Here is a 21,852-nt window from a genome sequence, read left to right as displayed (position 1 = left end):
GGAGACTGAGGCAGGAGAATTGATTGAACCCAGGAGGCAGAGGTTGCAGTGAGCCAAGATTGTGCCACTGCACTCCAGCCTGGGCGACAGAGTGAGACCCCATCTCAAAAAAAAAAAAAACAAAACAGGGACATCCAGAAAAAGAGAAAAATACAAGGTTGAAGTATATGAAAGCTGTCAACCTAATCATCATGAGAAAAACCAGAATATTACTGGGCTTACTTACTCTTACTTTGTGGTATAGTATAATTAAAAAAATTTTAAAATGGTAAAATCTAATCTATACATAGTGAAAAAGGCATCCTATTTGAATGTGTAGTTGAATGAATAATTACCCTTGTAAACCATTATTTAGGTCATGAAATGGGATCACAAAGTCTTCCTTACCCACTATCCTAACTTTTCTAACAATAATTTTCTTGCTTTCTTTGTAATTATTCTAAATCTGGATGCATCCCTAAATTCTTTTTTTTTTTCTTTTTTGAGATGGAGTTTTGCTCTTATTGCCCAGGCTGGAGTGCAATTGTGCAATGTCAGCTCACTGCAAACTCTACCTCCTGGGTTCAAGTGATTCTCTTGCCTCAGCCTCCCGAGTGGCTGGGATTACAGGCATGCGCCGCCATGCCCGGCCAATTTTTTATTTTTAGAAGAGATGGGGTTTCTCCATGTTGGTCAGGCTGGTCTTGAACTCCTGACCTCAGGTGATCTGCCCGCCTTGGCCTCCCAAAGTGCTGGGATTGCAGGCTTGAGTCACTACACCCAGCCACATCCCTAAATTCTGTAGTCTCGTTTTACCTGCTTTTAAACTTGAGATAAAGGGAATCTAACTCTATGTTCTTAGGTATCTTGCTTCTTTCACTTAATATTATGATGGTGAAATTCATCTGTGTTGTGTGTGGCTGTATTCTTTTATTTTCATTGTATGAATATACCACAATTTACTTATCTGTTCTATTGTAATTTGGATGTTTCCAGTTTGAGGGCTAGAAAAATAAAAAGTACCACTCTGAACATGCTTCTAGTTGGACCCTGGCGTACATGTGTTAGCTGAGGCTGCCGTAACAAAATACCCCCGGCCAGGTGGCTTCAACAACAGAAATGGATCTCCTCACAGTTCTGGAGGCTGGAAGTCCAGGACCAAAGTGCTGGCAGGGTTGACTTCTGGTGAGGCTTTGCGTCCTGGCTTACAGACGGCCACCTTCTCACTGTGTCCTCAATGGCCTTTCCTCTGTGTGTGCACTCCTCGTATCTCTTCCACTTCCTTTTTTTTTTTTTCTGTTTTTGTTTTCATTTTTTTAATTATTTTGAGACAGGGTCTAGCTCTGTCACCCAAGCTGGAGTACAGTGGTACATCCACAGCTCACTGCAGCTTCGAACTCATGGGTCCAAGTGATCCTCCTGTCTCAGCCTCCCAAGTAGCTGGGACTACAAGCATTTGCTACCATGCCTTGCTAATTTAAAAAATTTTTGTAGAGACGGTCTCACTATGTTGCCAGGGCTGGTCTTGAACTCCTGGGCTTAAGCTATCTTCCTGTGTTGGCCTCCCAAAGTGTTAGAATTACAGGTGTGAGCCACCGTGCCTGGCCTCTTCTCTTCATATAGGGACACCAGTCTTGTTGGGCTAGGGCTGTACCACTATGCCCTCATGTAACCTGAATTACCTTGGTTAAGACCTCATCTCCAAATACAGTCACATTGGGGATTAGGGCTTCAACATATAAATGTGGGGAAAAACAAGATTCATTTCATAACAGTGCATATGAGTGAGGAATGTATCTATCAGAGTGGAACTGCTGGCCCCTGGGGCATGCATATCTTCAGCTTTAATATGTATCGTTGAACTGTTCTTCATGGTGGCTATACCAATTCACCTTCTGACAAACGTGCCTGAAAGTCCCTGTTGCTTCATATTCTTGGTATGTGAGTCATTTTAAATTTGGCTAATCTGGGCTGAGTGTGGTGGCTCACACCTGTAATCCCAGTACTTTGGGAGGCTGAGGCAGGCAGATCACCTGAGACCAGGAGTTCGAGACCAGCCTGGCCACCATGGCAAAATCCCATCTCTACTAAAAATACAAAAAATTAGCTGGGCATGGTGGCGGATGCCTGTAATCCCAGCTACTCGGGAGACTGAGGCAGGAGAATTGCTTGAACCTGGGAGGTAGAGGTTGCAGTGAGCCAAGATCACACCATTGCACTCCAGCCTGGGCAATAAGAGCAAAACTCTGTCTCAAAAAATAAATAAATAAATTTTGCTAATCTGATGGGTGTGTCGTGACATCTTATGGGCTTTAGTTTGCATTTCCCTGATGACTAGTGAGAAGGCGCACCTTTTCTTTTTTTTTTTTTTTTTTTTTTTTTTGAGATGAAGTCTTGCTCTGTTGCCCAAGCTGGAGTGCAGTGGTGCAGTTTTGGCTCACTGCAACCTCTGCCCGCCGGGTTCAAGTGATTCTCCTGCCTCAGCCTCCCGAGTAGCTGGGACTATAGATGTGTGCCACCATGCCCAATTAATTTTTGTATTTTTAGTAGAAATGGGGTTTCGCTGTGTTGGTCAGTCTGGTCTCGAACTCCTGACCTCGTGATCCGCCTACCTTGGCCTCCCAGAGTGCTGGGATTACAGGCGTGAGCCACTGCGCCCCGCCAAAATCATTTTTTTAATGCCTGTTTGAAGATCCTCTCTGGTGAAGTATCTGTCACCATTTTTATATGTGAAGGAAAATGCTTATTGGAGTTCTAACCAAATATTTCTTCTTTTTTTTTTAATGGAAGCTGTTTCCTCTGCCTCTCCTCTACGTTGGAAACCACATAAGTGGATTATCAAGCACAAGTAAATTAAGGTAGAGTATAGGATAATGGCTGGTGGAAAGTTCCTCACCTCTGTGCTGCCAGTGGTACAAAGACCAAGATTGATTTTTGCCATTGATAGTGCTTGTACCATATATAGAAGACAATAATATTTAGTAGTTTAAGAAAGTAAGGTGGAGTTTTGAGTTTAATTGGCCAATGATTTTAGGAATGTTAAAAAGCTTATTTTTTTAAATTATATTCAAGCCTGAACATAGAATCTGAGAGCTGTAGACATTAAGGTAGAGAAGGTCTGATTTATCCAGGTGGGATTGTTGGTGTGAATATGATTTTGTGTGACTTTTGGTTTCATCTCAGTTTTATAAGAGCAGGAACATCTCCTCAGCCTTGGTGTAGACCAGGTTTGGTGCAGGGAAAAATAATGACAGACATTTTCAAGTGTGTGTTATAAACTTCTGAAATTTGCATCTGCATTTATTTCAGGGTCTTTTTTTTTTTTGAGACAGAGTCTCACTCTGTCTCCCAGGTTGGAGTGCAACCTTATCTTGACTCACTACAACCTCCACCTTCTGAGTTCAAGCGATTCTCCTGCCTCAGCCTCCCAAGTAGCTGGGATTATAGGCGCCTGCCACCACGCCTGGCTAAGTTTTGTATTTTTAGTAGAGACAGGGTTTCACCATGTTGGCCAGGCTTGTCTTGAACTCCTGACCTCAGGTGATCCATCCGCTTTGGCCTCCCGAAGTGCTGGGATTACAGGTGTGAGCCACTGTGCCCGGCCCATTTCAGGGTCTTTTGATTATGGGGCACATAATACCTTATCCTTCTTGGAATGCTATTAAATGGATCAGTTTCACTGTTAATGATTTTTTTTTTTTTTTGAGACGGAGTCTCGCTCTGTCGCCCAGGCTAGAGTGAGTGCAGTGGCACAATCTCGGCTCACTGCAAGCTCCGCCTCCCAGGTTCAAGCCATTCTCCAGCCTCAGCCTCCCCAGTAGCTGGGAGTACAGGCGCCTGCCACTATGCCCGGCTAATTTTTTGTATTTTTAGTAGGGACGGGGTTTCACCGTGTTAGCCAGGATGGTCTCCATCTCCTGACCTCGTGATCCGCCCGCCTCAGCCTCTCAAAGTGCTGGGATTACAGGCATGAGCCACCGCACCCGGCCACTGTTAATGATTTTAAGGGGTTGATATCTTATCTTTTTTTTGAGATGGAGTCTTGCACAGTCACCCAGGCTGGAGTGTAGTGATGTGATCTTGGCTCACTGCAACCTCCACCTCTTGGGTTCAAGCGATTCTCCTGCCTCCCAAGTAGCTGGGATTCTGCACCTGCCACCGTGCCCAGCTAATTTTTGTATTTTTAGTAACGACGGGGTTTCACCATGTTGGCCAGGCTAGTCTTGAACTCCTGACCTCAAGTAATCTGCCTGTCTTGGCCTCCCAAAGTACTTGGATTACAGGCATGAGCCACCACACCCAACCTAAACTTTTTCGATAAGAACAAATTTTCACCACTTCATATAGGAAAAGCAGGATAAAAGCTTCCTTTATCAATGTTCAGACTAATAAATTAGTGTCCTGACACCTTCAATAGTGACCAGGAAGGGTTGTTTTTTGTTTGTTTGTTGTTGTGTTTTCCTATCATGGATTCATGGTTTTTCATTTACTTGATACAAGTCCTTTATCAAATATGTGTTTTGCAAATATTTTTTTCCTAGTTTGTGGCTTATCTTTTTATTTTCTTAACACTGTCTTTCACAGAGCAGAAGTTTTTAATTTTAATGAAGTTCACAATCATTTTTTTTCTTTCATGGATTATACTTCTGGTTTTGAATTTGAAACTCATCATCAAACCAAGATTACCCAAATGCTATCTTCCAGAATTTTTATAGTTTACATTTTACGTTTAGGTCTCTACAAATTTGCCTACTCTAGACATCTCATAGAAGTAGAATTGTACAATATTTTTGCCTTTTTTGTCTGGCTTATTCTCTTACATCATATTTTCAAGGTTTATCCATGTTATATTAGGTATCAGAATTTAATTCCTTTTTCAGGCTGATTAATATTCCATTGCAGGTATATATATATATATATATATATATATAAAATATATAATATTTTGTTTATCCATTTATAAAAATATTATTATTATTTTTTGAGACAGGGTCTCCAGGCTGGAATGCAGTGGTGCGATCACAGCTCACTTGCAGCCTCACCCTGCTGGGCTCAAGCGATTCTCCTGTCTCGGTCTCCTGAATAGCTGGGGCTACAGGTGTGTGCCACCACGCCTGGCTTATTTTTATGTTTTTTGTAGAGACTAGGTCTCACCATGTTGCCCAGGCTGATCTTGAACTCCTGAGCTCAAGCAGTCTGCCTGCTCCAGCCTCCCAAAGTGTTGGGATTACAGAAATGAGCCACTGTGCCCAGCCTGTAAAAGTTTTAATTTTTATGAATTCCAGTTTTTCTATGTTTTTCTTTTGTTGCTTGTACTTTTGATGTTTTATCTAAGGCTTTGCCTAACTGAAGGGTCATAAAGATTTACTTCTATACTTTCTTCTAAGAATGTTATAGTTTTAGATCCTATGTCCAGGTCTTTAATACATTTCAATTAATTAAAAATTTTTTTCTTTTAAGTGATGGGGTCTTTCAATGTTGCTGTGTTACCCAGACTCAAATGCAGTAGCTTTCACTGGTGCAATCATGGCTCACTGTGGCCTCAAACTCCTGGGCTCAAATGATTCTCCACCTCAGCCTCTCGAGTACCTGGGACTGCAGGCACGTGCGACTGTACCCAGCTCTTGGGTTAATTTTTTATATGTGGTATGAGATAGAAGTTCAAATTCATTTTTTTTGCATGTGGATGTTCAGTTGTCCCAGCACTATTTGTTGAAAAGACTGTTCTTTTTCCATTGTATTGTCTTGGAACCCTGGTAGAAAATCAGTTGATCATAATTTTAAGAATGTATTCTATTGATTGTATATCATCTTTATTTATTTTTTATTTTTTGAGATGGAGTTTCGGTCTTGTTGCCCAGGCTGGAGTGCAATGGCACGATCTCGGCTCACCGCAACCTCCACCTCCCAGGTTCAAGCAATTCTCCTGCCTCAGCCTCCAGAGTAGCTGGGATTATAGGCATGTACTACCACGCCCAGCTAATTTTGTATTTTTAGTAGAGACGGGGTTTCTCCATGTTGAGGCTGGTCTCGAACTCCTGACCTCAGGTGATCCATCTGCCTCGGCCTCCCAAAGTGCTGGGATTACAGGCATGAGCCACCACGCCCAGCCTATCTATCTCTATTATTATTTTTTTGAGACAGGGTCTTGCTCTGTCACCCAGGCTGGAGTGTGGTAGCACAGTCACCACTCACTGCAGCCTTGACCTCCCAGGCTCAAGCGATCCTCCCACCTCAGCCTCCCAAGTAGCTGGGACCACAGGTGAGCACCAGCACACCTGGCTAATAATTGTTTTAATTTTTTTTGTAGAGATAGCATTTCACCATGTTGCCCAGGCTGGTCTCGAACTCCTGGGCCCACGGGATCCACCTGCCTCAGCCTCCTAAATTGCTGGGATTATTGGAGTGAGCCACCATGCCCAGCCAGCTATCTATCTAGATATCTTTAAACCAGTACTAGCTAGTCTTGATTATTGTAACTTTGTATTAAATTTTGAAATTGGAAAGCATAAGTACACCAACTTTGTTCTTCTTTTTCAAGATAGTTTTGATTTTTTAATTCTCTTGCATTTCCTTATTAATTTTAAAATTAGCTTGTCAATTTCTGCAAAAAAAAAAAAAAAAAAAAAGAATAAATAAAGCCAGCTAAGATTCGATAGGGATTGTGTTGAATCTGTGACTTAGTTTGTTAGTGTTGCTGTAAAGGACTACCTGAGGCTGGGTAATTTATGAAGAAAAAAGGTTCGTGTGCTTCACAGTTCTGCAGGCTGTGCAAGAAGCATGGCGCCAGCATCTGCATCTGGTGAGGGCCTCAGGCCCTCCTGGCAGAAGGGGAAGGGGAGCCAGTGCGCGCAGAGATCCCATGGCAAGAGAGGGGGTGCTGTCAGGCTCCTTTAACAATCAACCTTCATGGGAGTTAACAGAGTGAGAACTCACTCCCCCTGCCCCAGTTGATTAATCTATCCATGAGGAATCAGCCCCCACAGCTGAAACATTGCCCACCAGGCTCCACCTTCAACATGGGGATCCAATTTTAACATGAGGCATAAAGGGTCAGATATCCAAACTGTAGCAATCTGTGTATCTATTTGAAGAGTATTTTTAATAACATAAGGTTTTAATAACTTAAGGTCTTTTGATCCATGAACATGGAGTGTCTTTCCATTTATTTAGGTCTTCATTACTTTCTTTTTTTGATTTAAACATTTTCTTAGAAGGCCAGGCACAGTGGCTCACGCCTGTAATCCCAGCACTTTGGAGGCCAAGGCAGGTGGATCACCTGAGGTCAGGAGTTCGAGACCAGCCTGACCAACATGGTGAAACCCCATCTCTACTAAAAATACAAAAATTAGCTGGGTGTGTTGGTGGATACCTGTAATTCCAGCTACTTGGGAGGCTGAGGCAGGAGAATTGCTTGAACCCAAGAGGTGGAAGTTGCAGTGAGCCAAGATTGCGCCATTGCACTCCAGCCTGGGCGACGAGCGAAACTCCGTCTCAAAAAAAAAAAATTTTTTTTTTTTCTTAGAGACAATATCTCACTCTGTTGCCCAGACTGGAGTACAAGTGGCATGATCATAGCTCACTGCAGTAGCCTCGACCTCCTGTGCTCAAGCCATCCTCTTGTCTCAGCCTCCCAAGTGGCTGAGACTACAGACATTCACTACTGTGAATTTAAAAAACATATATATTTTTTGGCTTGGCGTGGTGGCTTACGTCTGTAGTCCCAGCACTTTGGGAGATCAAAGCAGGTGGATCACTTGAGGTCAGGAGTTTGAGACCCAGCCTGCTCAACATGGTGAAACCCCATCTATACTAAAAATACAAAAATTAGCCAGGCATGGTAGTGCACACCTAAATCCCAGCTACTTGGGTGTCTGAGGCACAAGAATCGCTTGAGCCAGGAGGCGGAGGTTGCAGTGAGCCAAGATGACGCCACTGCACTCCAGCCTGGGCAATAGAGCAAGACCCTGTCTCAAAGTAGAGACGGGGTCTTGCTCTGTTGCCCAGGCTGCTCTCAACCTCTTGGCCTCAAGCAATTCTTCCACTTCAGCCTCCCAAAGTGCTGGGATTACAGGCATGAACCACTGCACCTGGTTTTTTAAATTTTTTTAACAATGTTTTGTAGTTTTCTGCACACAAGTCTTACACTTCTTTTGTTAAAATTGTGTCTAAGAATTTTATTCTTTTTGATGCTATTTTAGATGAAATTGCTTTGGTAACTTTTTTTTTTTTTTTTTTTTTTTTTGAGATGGAGTCTCACTTTGTTGCCCAGGCTAGAGTGTAGTGGTGCGATCTTGGCTACTGCAACCTCTGCTTCCTAGGTTCAAGCAATTGTCCTGCCTTAGTCTCCCAAATAACTGGGATTATAGTCACGCACCACTACGTCCAGCTAATTTTTTGTATTTTTAGTATAAGTGGGGTTTCACCATGTTGGCCAGGCTGGTCTTGAACTCCTGACCTCAATTCATCCACCCACCTTGGCCTCCCAGAATGTTGGGATTACAGGCGTGAGCCACTGTGCCCAGCCTAATTTCATTTTTGGATTGCTCATTGCTAGTGTATATTCAGAGTTGACTTTTGTATATTCGTTTTGTTTCCTGCCTGTTTGCTTGATTCACTTATTGTGGTTCTAATAATTTTTAAGTGGATCCCTTAGGATTTTCTGTATAGAAGGTGTTCTCTGCAAATAGAGATAGCTTTAGTTCTTCCTTTCCAAATGAGATGTTTGTTTTTTCTAACTGCACTGTCTAGAACCTCAAATACAGTGTTGAATAGATACAATAGTGAGAGTGAACATCCTGGTCTTGTTCCTAATCATAGGCGGAAAACATTCACTTTTTAACCATTAAGTATACCTTATTTGCTTTTAAAAGGCATAATCTAGAATACTTTTCGAATGCAATTGAAAATATAAAGCGTTTTGTTGTTGTTGTTGCAGCTTTGAAAAATGTAGGTCCAGCCAGTCTTGTAAGACATCTTTAGGTGTGAATATAAAGTTCCTGAACATTCTTTCTGCAGCTGCTCTCTGGATGCAGTGTGGTTGATGATGTGAAGCCTGTGCTGGGGTATGGGTGGCTGAGCTGCCACTCTCCTCCTGTGCTGCTGTTCCAGCTCTGACTTTCTTTCCCTAGCTCATCGGCCGCTCAGGGTCGCATCTAGAAGCAGGTGGAGATGGGCTGGCATTTGGCAGCCCTGGCAGTCTGTTGACTATGCGCTGAGCTGCATCGTGGAATCTCTGGGTGTTAGGAGTGGGTAGAAGGTTCTTAACTATATATTTTAAGGCAGTTTAGCCTTACTACATAAAATTTGGGGAAGAAAATCACCCATAATCTACCTTTTAACACACAATTTTAAATACTCATTTTCAGCCCAGTGCGGTGGCTCACGCCTATAATCCCAGCACTTTGGGAGGCTGAGGCAGGTGGATCGCCTGAGATCAGGAGTTCGAGACCAGCCTGGCCAACATGGCAAAACTTCATTTCTACTAAAAATACAAAAATTAGCTGGGCGTGGTAGTGTAATCCCAGCTACCCGAGAGGCTGAGGCAGGAGAATCGCTTGAACCCGGGAGGTGGGGATTGCAGTGAGCTGAGATCGCGCCACTGCACTCCAGCCTGGGTGACAGAGTGAGACTCTATCTCTAAATAAATAAATAAATAAATAAATAATCCTTTGCAGCCCTTTTCTGTATACAGAATGTATCTTGTTACAGTTGTAGATCCTACATGGTTTTGTATCCATTTGTTTTATTTAATATTCATTTTCTAATAGTATTTGTATTACAGAGTTATAGTATCATGTTCCCTCAACTGAATGTATCATAATTTATTTAACTATTGTGATGTCTGACATTTAGGTTGTTTCTGATGTTTTTCCCACAGACACTGCAGTGAACACATTTATGCATGTGGTTTTTTTTTCTTTTGATTATTACCTTAGAATAAGTTTCCCAAGAAGAAGTAATTAGGTCCAAGGTCAGAACTTTTTTTTATTTTTTTGAGACAGAGGTTGCAGTGGTGCGATCCTGGCTCACTGCAACCTCCGCCTCACGGGTTCAAGCAATTCTCCTGCCTCAGCCTCCCGAGTAGCTGGGACTGCAGGTTCACATCACCATGCCTGGCTAATTTTTGTATTTTTAGTGGAAACAGGGTTTCACCATGTTGGTCAGTGTGGTGTCAAACTCCTGACCTCAAGTGATCTGCCCACCTCGGCCTCCCAAAGTGCTGGGATTACAGGCGAGAGCCACGGTGCCCAGTCGGTCAGGACTATTTAATGATGACGCATAGGCCTGACTTGATTTGTCAAAGGATGTATTGGTTCACATCATGAAGTAGTTTCAGCACAACCTTTAGAATGGATGGACAGAACGGTGTCTTAAATTGCCAAGTGAAGCCCAGGTGCGGTGGCTCACGCCTGTAATCCCAGCACTTTGGGAGGCTGTGGCGGGCAGATTACCTTAGGTCAGGTGTTTGAGACCAGCCTGGCCAACATGGCAAAACTCTGTCTCTTCTGAAAATACAAAAATTAGCCGGGTGTTGTGGCGCATGCCTGTAATCTCAGCTACTTGGGAGGCTGAGGCAGGAGAATCGCTTGAACCCGGGAGGCAGAGGTTACAGTGAGCCGAGATTGCACCACTGCACTACAGCCTGGGCAACACAGCGAGACTCTGTCTCCAAAAAAAATAAATAAATAAATAAAAAATAAGTAAATAAATTGCTAAGTGAAAGTGGTATGAAATTATTTAATCTCCATTTATTTTTATTATTTAATGTGATTTGTTAATGGTAAATGTGAAAATTGATTTGGAAAATTAGTAAGCTTAATTAAAAATGTAAAACATGTAAAAGATAAAACCAATCAACCAACCCTTGGTGTCTGACATGCTTCACTCTTTTCCTGGCAGCCTACCGATGTTCACCGTGCTCAGGAAATTCACCATTCCACTTACCTTACTTCTGGAAACCATCATACTTGGGTGATTTTGTTTTTCCTCCATTCTTCCAGTGTGCCTCCCACCCACTGCATTTCTTTTACCCAGCAAATTCTAGTAGCCATTGCTAGTTGCAATAATTTAAGGACAAATGGTTTATTCATTTAAAAGTAGTTTTGTGCTTCTGTGATTCCCTAAGAACTTAATGAGGGATTTTTTAAAAGTTGTAATTTTACCATAGACAAATAATGCATGTTTGTGGTAGAAAATCGTAAGAAAGTAAAAGAAACACTCCAAAAAGGATGTAAACCTGTTTCCTGAGCCAGATGGAATATAAACCAATTTTGGAATACAGAAGGGAAACTGTCCATGTATACATACAGGATAGTTGTGCAGGGTATGAGGGATATCAATTCTGACGCAGTAATTATAATATCAGAAGAAATTAATTTTTATATTGTTGGTATAAAATTTTTCATAAGGATATTTAGTCTGATATCCAAAAAGTTGATTCTTGATTTTGCTGGGAGGATTATTTAGAAATGAATTTTGGTTGGTGGTTCAGTGTTTTAAGCCCTTGTATTGAATTTTATCATAATCTTTGAATACTCACTATCAGTCCATGCAAACTAGATCCACCAGCAGGAGCGCTTCTGTATTTTGTCCCAGTATCTCTCTAGTGAGAACAGAGAAATCAGTTTGTAATTAGATTAAGAAAACTGCTTAAGAAATAATGTAAATTTAGTCTGACTTAGAAACACTTTTAGTGCTTTCTCTGCATCAAGCATTGTCTGCTGGATTTTAGCTATAAAAATGCTGATGTCTATTTTCAATTTGTTTAAAAAATATAATCATATTTCAATGTTTTCCTCTCTGCTCCCTTTCCTTTCTTATTTGTGTATTTATTACAGGAAGCAGTATTCACTCAACATCATCCTCAGTGTCTTTGCCATTATTCTCGGGGCTTTCATAGCAGCTGGGTAAGACTTTGGACTGTTTCTGCTCAATAACTTCTTTGTGTCTTTGACAATAGGCCCAGCCCCATCCTCAGTTTTTCATTTTCCATCTGGCTGCTGTTGAATTGAGCAGGCAAGAGACAAATCTGTTGAAGTTAGTGGAATCCCCATGTGTTCCTATGAAAGTCAAAGTGGGTCCCACATTGGCCAGAAAATTTCTGAGAATATATGAAGAGAGCATTGCAAGATATTAATATAGCTTTTCTTCACAAAAAGCAGTGAACTGTTTACATTTCTTACTGAATGTTTGTCTTCATTATAACAACTTTACTTGAGAAGTTCTTAGGCATTTGATTAATAATAACAGACTTACAAAGCCTTTGTCTGCTGATTTATTTTATTATTCCATGATACCTTAGCAGTTGCTGTTTCCGATGGTAGAATGCTAAATATATTTGTACGTTTGGGATATGAGCCAACACTGGTGCATGACTACTACTTTAATAATTATTTTGCAAAAGGAATAACGAGGACTCCAAGTCTTCGTGGGCAGGCAGGTGCTCAGATTTCTGCTATAGCATGGTGGATAGTGCATGTGAATAGTTACATCCCTGGGTTCAAAACTTAGCTCCAGGCTGGGTGTGGTGGCTCACCCCTATAATCCCAGCACTGTAGGAAGCCTAGGTGGGAATATCACCTGAGCCCATGAGTTTGAGATAAGCTTGGGAAACATTGTGAGAACCTATTTCTACAAAAAAAAAAAAAAAAAAAAAAAAAAAGGAAAGAAAATTAGCCTGGCGTCGTGGTGTGTGCCTGGAGTCTCAGCTACTCAGGAGGCTGGGGAAAGAGGATCTCTTGGGCCCAGGAGTTTGAGGTTGCAGTGAGCAATGATTGCACCACTGCATTCTAGCCTGAGCAAAAGAGTAAGATCCTGTCTCTAAGAAAAACAAATCATGCTTACTGTCATTATAAATGTATTTAGTCCATTGTGTAGACTAAGGTTTATTACTTACGTGTCATCTGTACCTTTCTCTCCCCTAGTCCTAGCCAGGGGCTGAGTTTTACTGCTTGAAAGCTGGCTCTGGGGTCTCAGTGCTCCAATTCACACCGCAGGTATAGGGCCAGCACCCATTAGACAGCAGTTCTCAGAGCCTCATCTAGTCATGACAGGCTTTTTTTGGAATGAAATTTTATAAGTAAAGTAGTTTAAAGAGGGAGGAGTTCTGTGGAGGATGCTCCAGGGGCTAAGGGAGACAGCTTCCCCTTCTACTCTCTGAAGGTTCATTAAAAAAGGAACTGACAGGCCGGGCGTGGTGGCTCATGCCTGTAATCCCAGCGATTGGGAGGCCCAGGCGGGTGCATCACCTGAAGTCAGGAGTTAGAGACCAGCCTGGCCAACATGGCAAAACCCCATCTCTACTAAAAATACAAAAATTAGCCAGGTGTGGTGGCAGGTGCCTATAATCCCAGCTACTCAGGAGGCTGAGGTAGGAGAATCGCTTGAACCTGGGAAGTGGAGGTTGTAGTGAGCTGAGATTGTGCCATTGCACTCCAGCCTGGACGACAGAGTGAGACTCCATCTCAAAAAAAAAAAGGAACTGACAAAAGAGCAGATTGAGAGGAGAGAAAGACACACAGATTTACCTTCCCATGCCTGGGGTAGAGATCACGGGAGAGCGGCCACCCAGTGACCCAGTGGGGTGCAGGTGCTTCTATATCCTTCTTCAGGGGAGGGCAGGGAATGGGGACAATGCTTTTGGGAGTTCAGAAATGATGCCTGGAGAGAATGAATGGACCTGGGAGACAAAAATTGTAAAGGATTGATTCTCTTTGGAATTTGCACCCGAGAGGCAGACATTATATTTTTAAAGTCTGCCCAGATGTGGCTGCATTCCTTGTCTTCTCTGCAGTAGATTTCAGAGAGGGGGATGGAAAGCAAGTGTGTTCTCATGGGTGGGCGCACTCTTTTAAGATTGAAAAGGGAGTATCCAAGAAAAGCCTCTTCAGCATCTGCTGCCCTTCAAAGGCTTTCCATGTAAAATAATCTGTATGCCAGGGTACCATATTTTTGGGGTGAAATTCCCTGGGCTTCTCCCATAGCACTCTGAGGTCTCCCCGGCACAGCCCCTCTCTTCTAGCTTCCTTAGGGCTCATTTTGAAAACCACTGACTTACAGCCAGTTAAAGACTTTTGCAAAAAATGGTTTATAAAACTGTGGTAAGTCTTTGGTGAGGAATGGCCCTTCAGTTACCGTGGGTATGCAGGTGCGTTTCCAGAACCAGTGATCAGAAATCCAGTCCGTGCTTCACATATGTAAGGACAGTCTACAAACAATCTAAAAGGGTAAATCGGGGTTCCTAAAGCATCTAACTTTCAACCAAGAGCCAGCCTGGAGTAGCCATGCTCAGCCTGGCTCTTCCTCTGGCACTCACAGAATGGATCCCCACCTGGTAGCTGGCATTCATAGTGCTTAGCCACAGTGCTTAGCTACAGATCAGCAGTGAGTGCTTAGCTACAGACCAGCAGTGACCCTATCCTGCTCTCCTCTTACATTAGCACATCCAGATGCAAGCAGTGGCAGATCAGACTGTTGGATGAGCAGGTGATGCTGCTGTAACAAACAACCTCCACACGGCAGTAGCTTCACTCACCAGATGCACCCCATCCACGCCATCCACGCTGTCCAACACTAGGCAGTGCTAGTGCGAGGGCTCTGCTCCATGTGTTCACTCAGGGATCCAGGCTGATGGAATCCCTGCCTCAGAGGGCACTTCCTTTGCCAAACAAGCAGGAAAAGGGAAGGTGGGGAATTATGCACTGGCTCTTAAAGGTTTCACCCAGAAGTGACGTGTCACCTTCTCTTACATTTTATTCAAAAACAAGTTACATGGCCAGAAAAAGTTAAAATACATCTGGGCTGGGTGTGGTAGCCCATGCCTGTAATCCTGTTACAGGAAAGGGTCCTGATCCAGACCCCAAGAGAGGGTTCTTGGATCTTGTGGAAGAAAGAATTCAGGGCGAGTCTGCAGTGCAGCGTGAAAGCAAGTTTATTAAGAAAGTAAAGGAATAAAAGAATGGCCACTCCATAGAAAGAGCAGCCCCAGAGCTGCTGGTTGCCCATTTTTAATGGTTATTTCTTGATGATTTGCTAAACAAGGGGTGGATTATTCATGTCTCCCCTTTTAGACCATATAGGGTAGCTTCCTGACATTGCCCTGGCATTTGTAAACTGTCACGGCGCTGGCGGGAGTGTAGCAGTGAGGATGACCACAGGTCACTTTTGTGGCCATTTTAGTTTCAGTGGGTTTTGGCCTATCAGCAAGGTCTTTATGATTTGTATTTTGTGCCGGCTTCCTATGTCATCCTGTGACTTAGAATGCCTTAACCGCCTGGGAATGCAGCCCAGTAGGTTTCAGCTTCATTTTACCCAGCTCCTATTTAAGATGGAGTTGCTCGGGTTCACACGCCTCTGACAATCCCAGTACTTTGGGAGGCCCAGGTGACGGGATTGCTTGAGCCCAGGAGTTCGAGACCAGCCCTGGCAACATAATGAAACCCTGTCTCTACAAAAATAAAAGTAAAAAAATTAGCCGGGCATGGTGGCACATGCCTGTAGTCCCAGCTACTCAGGAGACTGAGATGGGAGGATCGCTTGAACAACTGCAAGGGTTACATGAATCTGCTCTAATTGATTAAACAAGTAAATTCTTCAGAAATGTCTGTGCTGTCACCACTGGCCTAAACAAACAGTGGGTAAGCTGCCTGACAGTGACCCAGGCTTCCGGGAGTGGGAACAGCGCTGCTGGGAACTCTTGGTCCCCTGAGTAGGAGTTCCCCTGCAGCTCTCCCAGGAGGTGGGCAGCATCTCCCCCCATCCCCTTTCCACTCACTTGGCTCTGCTGTCTCAGGGGGCGGCAGACTCTGCTCTTCTTCACGCTGAATCACATGTGGGTAGGTAAGAAATTTGGAAGACCCTTATTTTGAAGAAAATCCTTTTGAGACAGAGTTTCGCTCTTGTTGCTCAGGCTGGAGGCACGATCTTGGCTCACCACAACCTCTGCCTCCCTGGTTCAAGTGATTCTCCTGCCTCAGCCTCCCAAGTAGCTGGGATTACAGGCATGTGCCACCACGCCCAGCTAATTTTGTATTTTTAGTAGAGATGGGATTTCTCCATGTTGGTCAGGCTGGTTTCGAACTCCCGACCTCAGGTGATCCACCCACCTTGGCCTCCCAAAGTGCTGGGATTACAGGCAGGAGCCACCACGCCTGGCCAAAAATCCTTTTTTTTTTTTTTTTAAATTGTGACTGAGGGAGAATTCTGACTTATGATGACTAAAATTAATTTCCCTTCTCACAAATATATTTGTAGATAATAATGTGTGGAGGCGTCAAGCAAAAATCCAATTTAATTTGCATTCAGATTTTGGTAGAATTTTTGCTCTGTGTTTCATTCTCTTTGGTTAGAAATAATCTTATTTTGACATTGAAGAAGATTCAGGGTATGCCACTGCAAACTGTGCCACTGTGAGATCAGGATTATTTTGAGCCGAGAAAGATTGAGAATCAACAGATCAGGAAGTTTGCTGCCTTCTCCTTTCTGCCTAAAAACCAGGGAATCAATTTCCCATTGTGAAGAGGACCGCTTCTCCCATCCCAGGAAGAGGAGAGCAATTCCTATCACTGGACGGAGGGTCGGCCCTGAGATGCATCTGCATAAACAAACCCTAAAAGAACCCTTCTCGTTCATCATTTCCACCATAGGTTTCCTAGTTACTTTCTAACAATTACACAATTTATTTGTTCCTTGAAGCCCAAATCCTCTTTCCTTTTTAAAACGTAAGTCCCCAAGTCTAACTGTTTCTTTGAGTTTCACTTCTTTTCTGTGAACTTCAGGGAACATATTAATAAGATTCGTATTCTCTTTCTCCTGTTAATCTGTCTTTTATCAGTTAAATTAGCAGGCCCCCAGACACTGAATCTAAGAGGGTACAGGAAAAGGTTTTCCTCCCTGGCAATGTGTATTTCTGAATTATGACATGGCCTAGCACTGTCTGCAACGATCAAGTGCAGGTGGGTGGGCCACATCATGGCTCAGCTATTGCTCTTCCTCTTGTTCCTGTCATAGATCCCCAAACGTATTTATGCTGGTGCTATTTATAATGGAAATGGAAGAGAAGCTGTTTCAAAAGAATGGGAAGAAAGGAGCCATAGAGGGGTCACATAGAAGGATGGATACCTGCCTTGCCATTTTGATGGACGGGGTGCGGTTTGGGCACCAGATGGAGGTGTGGCTGCCTCATGCGACCCCTCTTACCCAGCCTCTGCCCAGCTGCCCCTCACTGGCTGCACCCTGGAGGTGGCCCTGTTCACTACAATAAGCAGAGCCCCTGGGTGGATCGGGGCGAATCACTCCCCTTAGGAAAGTCAGGGCTCACCAGTTATTATGTGGATTCATCAGCTAGCGAAAGAAAGGGGTTGCAGTTGAAGGAAGATGCTTAATGTCGCTCTGGTTTTAAGCCATTCACGATTGAGTCGAAGCCATCTGATGGGCTGGTTTGGTTTTTGTCTGGAGGCAAAGCAGAGGAATTAATCATTCACTACCACAAAGCGGGGAAAGTGTGCCACAGAAAAGTGGGTTTGATTAGGGAAAGGTAGATCAGGCGGGCTTGGAGGCCAAGTTGTGAGTTTTTGAGTAATCATTCTCCCTTTGTGGTCTCCCTCCCAGGTCTGACCTTGCTTTTAACTTAGAAGGCTATATTTTTGTATTCCTGAATGATATCTTCACAGCAGCAAATGGAGTTTATACCAAACAGAAAATGGACCCAAAGGTACCAGACCTTGCCTATGGCTTTTTGGCTCTGTCATCTGGCCCCTAGAATTATATGAAAAATGAAAATGAATGTGTACAGTTGGAATGTAATTTAATTTATATAATATGACCTGTAAATTCCTTATTTTCAATTATCTTGTCTGTATAAGTTATTATTTGCGAAATTTTGGGTGAAAATGAGATATGATGGGAAAAGCCACTAGTTTAGATGCACACTCAGAACATATAAAAAGGGATTATTCTGAAAGGCAAATTAATTTTTTTACCAGCATCATCAATCACCAAGGCAAGGTCAGGGGTCACGATATTTGTTCAGAGAGCGCTAGTTTGGAGTCTGGAGATGTGGGCTACAGACACAAGTTTTTCTACTTACTGACTGTTGTGACTTTGAACCTTAACTTCTCCAAACTTCAGTTTCCTTATCTGTGGAATGAAATGACTGCAATGGATAATTTGTAAGGTCTTGTCCAGCAATAGCTGCTGCTTCTGATGATGAGGGGTGGGGCAGAGGAGCTTTGCTTTTGTGTGGCTGCCTGTCACGTGGAGGCCCCATCCCTCCCCCTCCCCCATCCCTCCCCCACCCCCAGCTGTTACAAGGAAGCCCGGAGGATGAGTCAGGCATATGTTTCTTTGTTCCAAGCTCTTTGTGCTGGATGAGGGAGTTCACTCTGACCAACAGGCTTATTTCCATGAGCTATTTTTTTTAATCTGCTCTTTTTTTTTTTTTTTTATCTGCTCTGTTTTTTTTTTTTTTCCCCTGCATGGCCTTTTTTTTTTTTTTTTTTTTAACGGTAGAAGTTTTGCAAAAACAGGTTTGTTGTCTTTTGAGGATCACAATATGTCATCCTTTTTTGAAAATGGTGAAGTGGTGTGGCCACTTTAATGAAAGTAAATATATGATGCTGCTGTCCTTTAATGGAAAGAGCAGATGTTTTTAAAGAGTTTTGTTTATATTAACATTTTTAATGTTCTTTATTTTGTTCCAGATTTCCCATTTTGAATTACATGCTTTAAAAAAAACCCCACATAATTAGAATGCTGGAGATGAATGGAACCCTAGAGGCTTCCCACTGCCATGCGTTTTCTCTGTAGTTTTGGTGTAAAACAAATGTTTATTCCAAAATCTCAGTACCCTCAAACCAAAGCATTTTATGTCAGAAATTTGCTGAAAATATTCCAAAAGAGTTGCTCAGAATGCACATTCTAACTTCGCATGAATATGCAGTTGTATAAATGGCTCCAGGAAATCTGTGCCTCACGTTTCTGAAACTGAGTGGTTTTTACATTTTTGTTTTTGCAGGAGCTAGGGAAATACGGAGTACTTTTCTACAATGCCTGCTTCATGATTATCCCAACTCTTATTATTAGTGTCTCCACTGGAGACCTGCAACAGGTGAGCTGATGACAATCATTACAGTTTTCCTTAGCTGGCTTTAAAAAATTTAATATTTAACATTTGATATGCACTGAAACAAAAAGTGTAAAGTTAGCTAGGACTACCAGGAGGGTACATGATAACAAGATGTTTGATATCCCTAGTAACACCTTTTGGCACTACCCTTGCATTGGCATTTATCCTTAGCCACATATCAAGGAGAGCCAAGAACTCTGGACTTGGTACTTTTTGGAAAACAACAATACAAATCTGAGTTTGAATTCCATATCCCCCTTTGCTAATGTGGGGACCCTGGGAGAGCTACTTACCCTAGAAGGGGATTTTGATCATTTTAAAACATAGGTTTGTTTATTTATTTGTTACTTTCTATTACGGACATTTTGAAACATGCACAAAATAGAGTAATTCAATGAGTTGTCAGGGACCCACCACCTAGCTTCAACACTTTGGCATTTTGCCATCTTATTTTATCTGTCCTCATCCATCCCCAGCTTTTTGTTCCTCTGGAGTATTTTAAAACCTATCCCAGCCATCACGCCATTTTACCTCTAAATATTCCAGGATCCACATTTGAATTTTGGGAAGGTGTTGTTCTTTCAGCATTTGCCCTGAAACCGTATCTGCTGCTGGTGAGAGACAAATAAAATGGTAAATTAGTGGTAAGATCTGAGGCCCAGTGGAGCGGTGGAGGCCAAGTCTCTCAGGACGTGTGGACATTCTCCATAGTGACAGCTCCAGTGGCCACCCCGAAGGGTGCAAGCCCGGACTTCTTCAGGAAGTCGCGGGCCACACAGCCTCTGAGAACTTTGCTGATGTGTAAGTGACTGTGAGAAACGAGATGCGATGGGCAAAACCCTCCTCAGCGGGACCTCCACCCACAGACTCGACTCCGGACACAGCCCTGACCAGCCAGGCGATAACCCCGTCATTGCTGGCCTGGGGCTGGGGCAGCACCCATTTACCCATGGACAGGACAGTGTTTCCATATTTAGCAATCAGCATGGGTGTATGTTGCCCACCAGTTGAAAGTCAATCCCATTTGCAGCTCTTTTAGGGTCTGAGTGACTCTGAAAGGCTGCAGGCTGCTGTGGACTCCTGGGCAGCTCCTTGTTCTTTCTCCAGCTGGACTTTCTCACTTGTCCAATTCTCTTCCCAGAAGGAGGGATCAGCAGAAGGGCTTAGCAACCTCGTCCCCGGGCACAAACAGCCATTTCCACGGGTTTATATGGAAAACTACCAAGTGGCACCAATCTCGATAAAGAGCTCTCTTTTTCGGGTTATTTAGAACGTTGTGAACCTGAGCCTCCCTGTTAATTCCGTTTTGGAAGATAAAGCGGGCACCTGCACCTCTCTAGTAAGAATGAGCAGGGCATGATACCTGAAAACACAGTATTTGTTTTTCAGCTACCATCAATCAATTTTAAACTGAGTCAGTGCTCCAACATTACACAAAACAAAATTATGAACTCTTGGCCAGGCGAGGTGGCTCACACCAGTAACCCCAGCACTTTGGGAGGCCGAGGCAGGCAGATCACCTGAGGTCAGGAGTTTGAGACCAGCCTGGCCAACGTGATGAAACCCCATTTGTAGAGAGTATTTTTAGTAGTAGTAAAAATACAAAAATAAGCCAGGCATGGTGGCGGGTGCCTGTAATCCCAGCTTCTCAGGAGGCTGAGGCAGGAGAATCACTTGAACCTGGGAGGCAGAGGTTGCAGTGAGCCGAGATCACGCTATTGCACTCCAGCCTGGGTGACAGAGCGAGACTCCATCTCAAAAAAAAAGGAAAAAAGATAAAAAGAAAAATTATGAACTCTTAATGAAGTGGTCCTAGAGGCTTGTCTCCTTTCATTATTATAGAAACGAGGGTTTTTTTTTGTTTTTGTTTTGTTTTGTTTTTTTAAATCAGCGGAGTTTATCTGTTCTGAAATTCTGGTATTTTAGATATATATATATTTTTTTTTTCCAAAAATATAAATCTAGAAACTCCTAAATATTGTTAAAACATCTCACTGGGGCTAAAAGCATATTTCCCCATGGCAACAACACTATGAAAGGCATAGTGACCAGAAACTGAATTTTAGGTTCTTTATGAGTAAAATAGATTAGGTGTATTATGTTAATAATGTATAACATTGTTTCAGAAGAAATATGTGTTCTTACATCAACGTCATTGACTTATAAACTTGTAGCATGGTGTTTTCAGAAGTTGCCCTCTGCCTGTAATGATTATCATGTGGAATCTTCTGCTTTCTCATGTGATAATAATAATAGCTAATACTTGCTGAGGGCTTATTATGTCAGACATTTTTCAAAGCATTGTTCATGAACTATCTCACTGCATTTCCACAGCAGAAGAGAAGGTCCTGTTACTATTTCTATCGTATAGGCAAAGCATCTAGGGCATTGTGCTTAAATACATTCCCAAGGATAGCAGGTGGTCAGTCCAGGCACTCTGGCTCTAGAAACACATCCTCCACTGTCATCTTTATTTACTTCATTTGTATATGAAAAGTGTTTGTTTTCTCCTTCATGTGTGAAAACATATCCTTCCCTTATAGAAAGTACAAGAGACCTAACATATACTTTATTTTTATTTATTTTATTTTATATTTTTGAGACAGCGTCTCACTCTGTCACCCAGGCTGGAGTGCAGTGGCATGATCTTGGCTCACTGAAACTTCTGTCTCCCACATTCAAGCAATTCTCCTGCCTCGGCCTCCTGAGTAGCTGGCATTACAGGAGCGCACCACCACACCCAGCTA

At 42.9% G+C, this 21,852-nt stretch overlaps 1 protein-coding gene and 1 long non-coding RNA gene across 4 annotated transcripts in view, besides 3 other annotated features; both read left to right on the top strand.

Moving 5' to 3' along the window:
* SLC35D2-HSD17B3 (SLC35D2-HSD17B3 readthrough) overlaps positions 1-21,852 on the top strand; it is a 148,406-nt gene that overhangs the window by 20,721 nt on the left and 105,833 nt on the right. The window contains exons 4-8 of the long non-coding RNA NR_182427.1: positions 2,770-2,837; positions 10,882-10,953; positions 11,820-11,888; positions 17,590-17,692; positions 18,995-19,087. This is a non-coding gene — a long non-coding RNA (SLC35D2-HSD17B3 readthrough). The remainder of the gene's footprint in view (positions 1-2,769; positions 2,838-10,881; positions 10,954-11,819; positions 11,889-17,589; positions 17,693-18,994; positions 19,088-21,852) is intronic.
* Positions 1-21,852, top strand: part of SLC35D2 (solute carrier family 35 member D2) — a 70,268-nt gene that overhangs the window by 20,721 nt on the left and 27,695 nt on the right. For 2 of the 3 annotated variants that reach the window (NR_104627.2, NM_007001.3), the window contains exons 4-8: positions 2,770-2,837; positions 10,882-10,953; positions 11,820-11,888; positions 17,590-17,692; positions 18,995-19,087. Coding sequence is in view for 2 of the 3 variants with exons in the window: in NM_007001.3 (NP_008932.2) it covers positions 2,770-2,837; positions 10,882-10,953; positions 11,820-11,888; positions 17,590-17,692; positions 18,995-19,087 (405 nt within the window). In the remaining variant the exon portion in view is untranslated. The remainder of the gene's footprint in view (positions 1-2,769; positions 2,838-10,881; positions 10,954-11,819; positions 11,889-17,589; positions 17,693-18,994; positions 19,088-21,852) is intronic. The other variant, NM_001286990.2, reaches the window with a different exon arrangement.
* Positions 6,323-6,492: an enhancer, noted in NCBI's record as "experimental_110853 CRE fragment used in MPRA reporter constructs". NCBI's record gives its function as "activates a minimal promoter by MPRAs in K562 erythroleukemia cells, with activity observed for the non-introgressed 9:99118866 variant allele {active_cell/tissue: K562}" and the evidence as "EXISTENCE:reporter gene assay evidence [ECO:0000049][PMID:34662402]".
* Positions 19,465-19,988: an enhancer, noted in NCBI's record as "H3K27ac-H3K4me1 hESC enhancer chr9:99105285-99105808 (GRCh37/hg19 assembly coordinates)". NCBI's record gives its function as "activates a minimal SCP1, AML or CMV promoter by ChIP-STARR-seq in naive H9 embryonic stem cells {active_cell/tissue: H9 hESC(naive)}" and the evidence as "EXISTENCE:reporter gene assay evidence [ECO:0000049][PMID:30033119]".
* Positions 19,989-20,513: an enhancer, noted in NCBI's record as "H3K27ac-H3K4me1 hESC enhancer chr9:99104760-99105284 (GRCh37/hg19 assembly coordinates)". NCBI's record gives its function as "activates a minimal SCP1, AML or CMV promoter by ChIP-STARR-seq in naive H9 embryonic stem cells {active_cell/tissue: H9 hESC(naive)}" and the evidence as "EXISTENCE:reporter gene assay evidence [ECO:0000049][PMID:30033119]".

The sequence above is a fragment of the Homo sapiens genome, chromosome 9 (assembly GCF_000001405.40).
Source record: "Homo sapiens chromosome 9, GRCh38.p14 Primary Assembly".
Lineage (NCBI taxonomy): Eukaryota > Metazoa > Chordata > Mammalia > Primates > Hominidae > Homo > Homo sapiens.
Note: the sequence above shows the minus strand (reverse complement) of the source record. Positions and strands in the feature narration are given on the sequence as shown.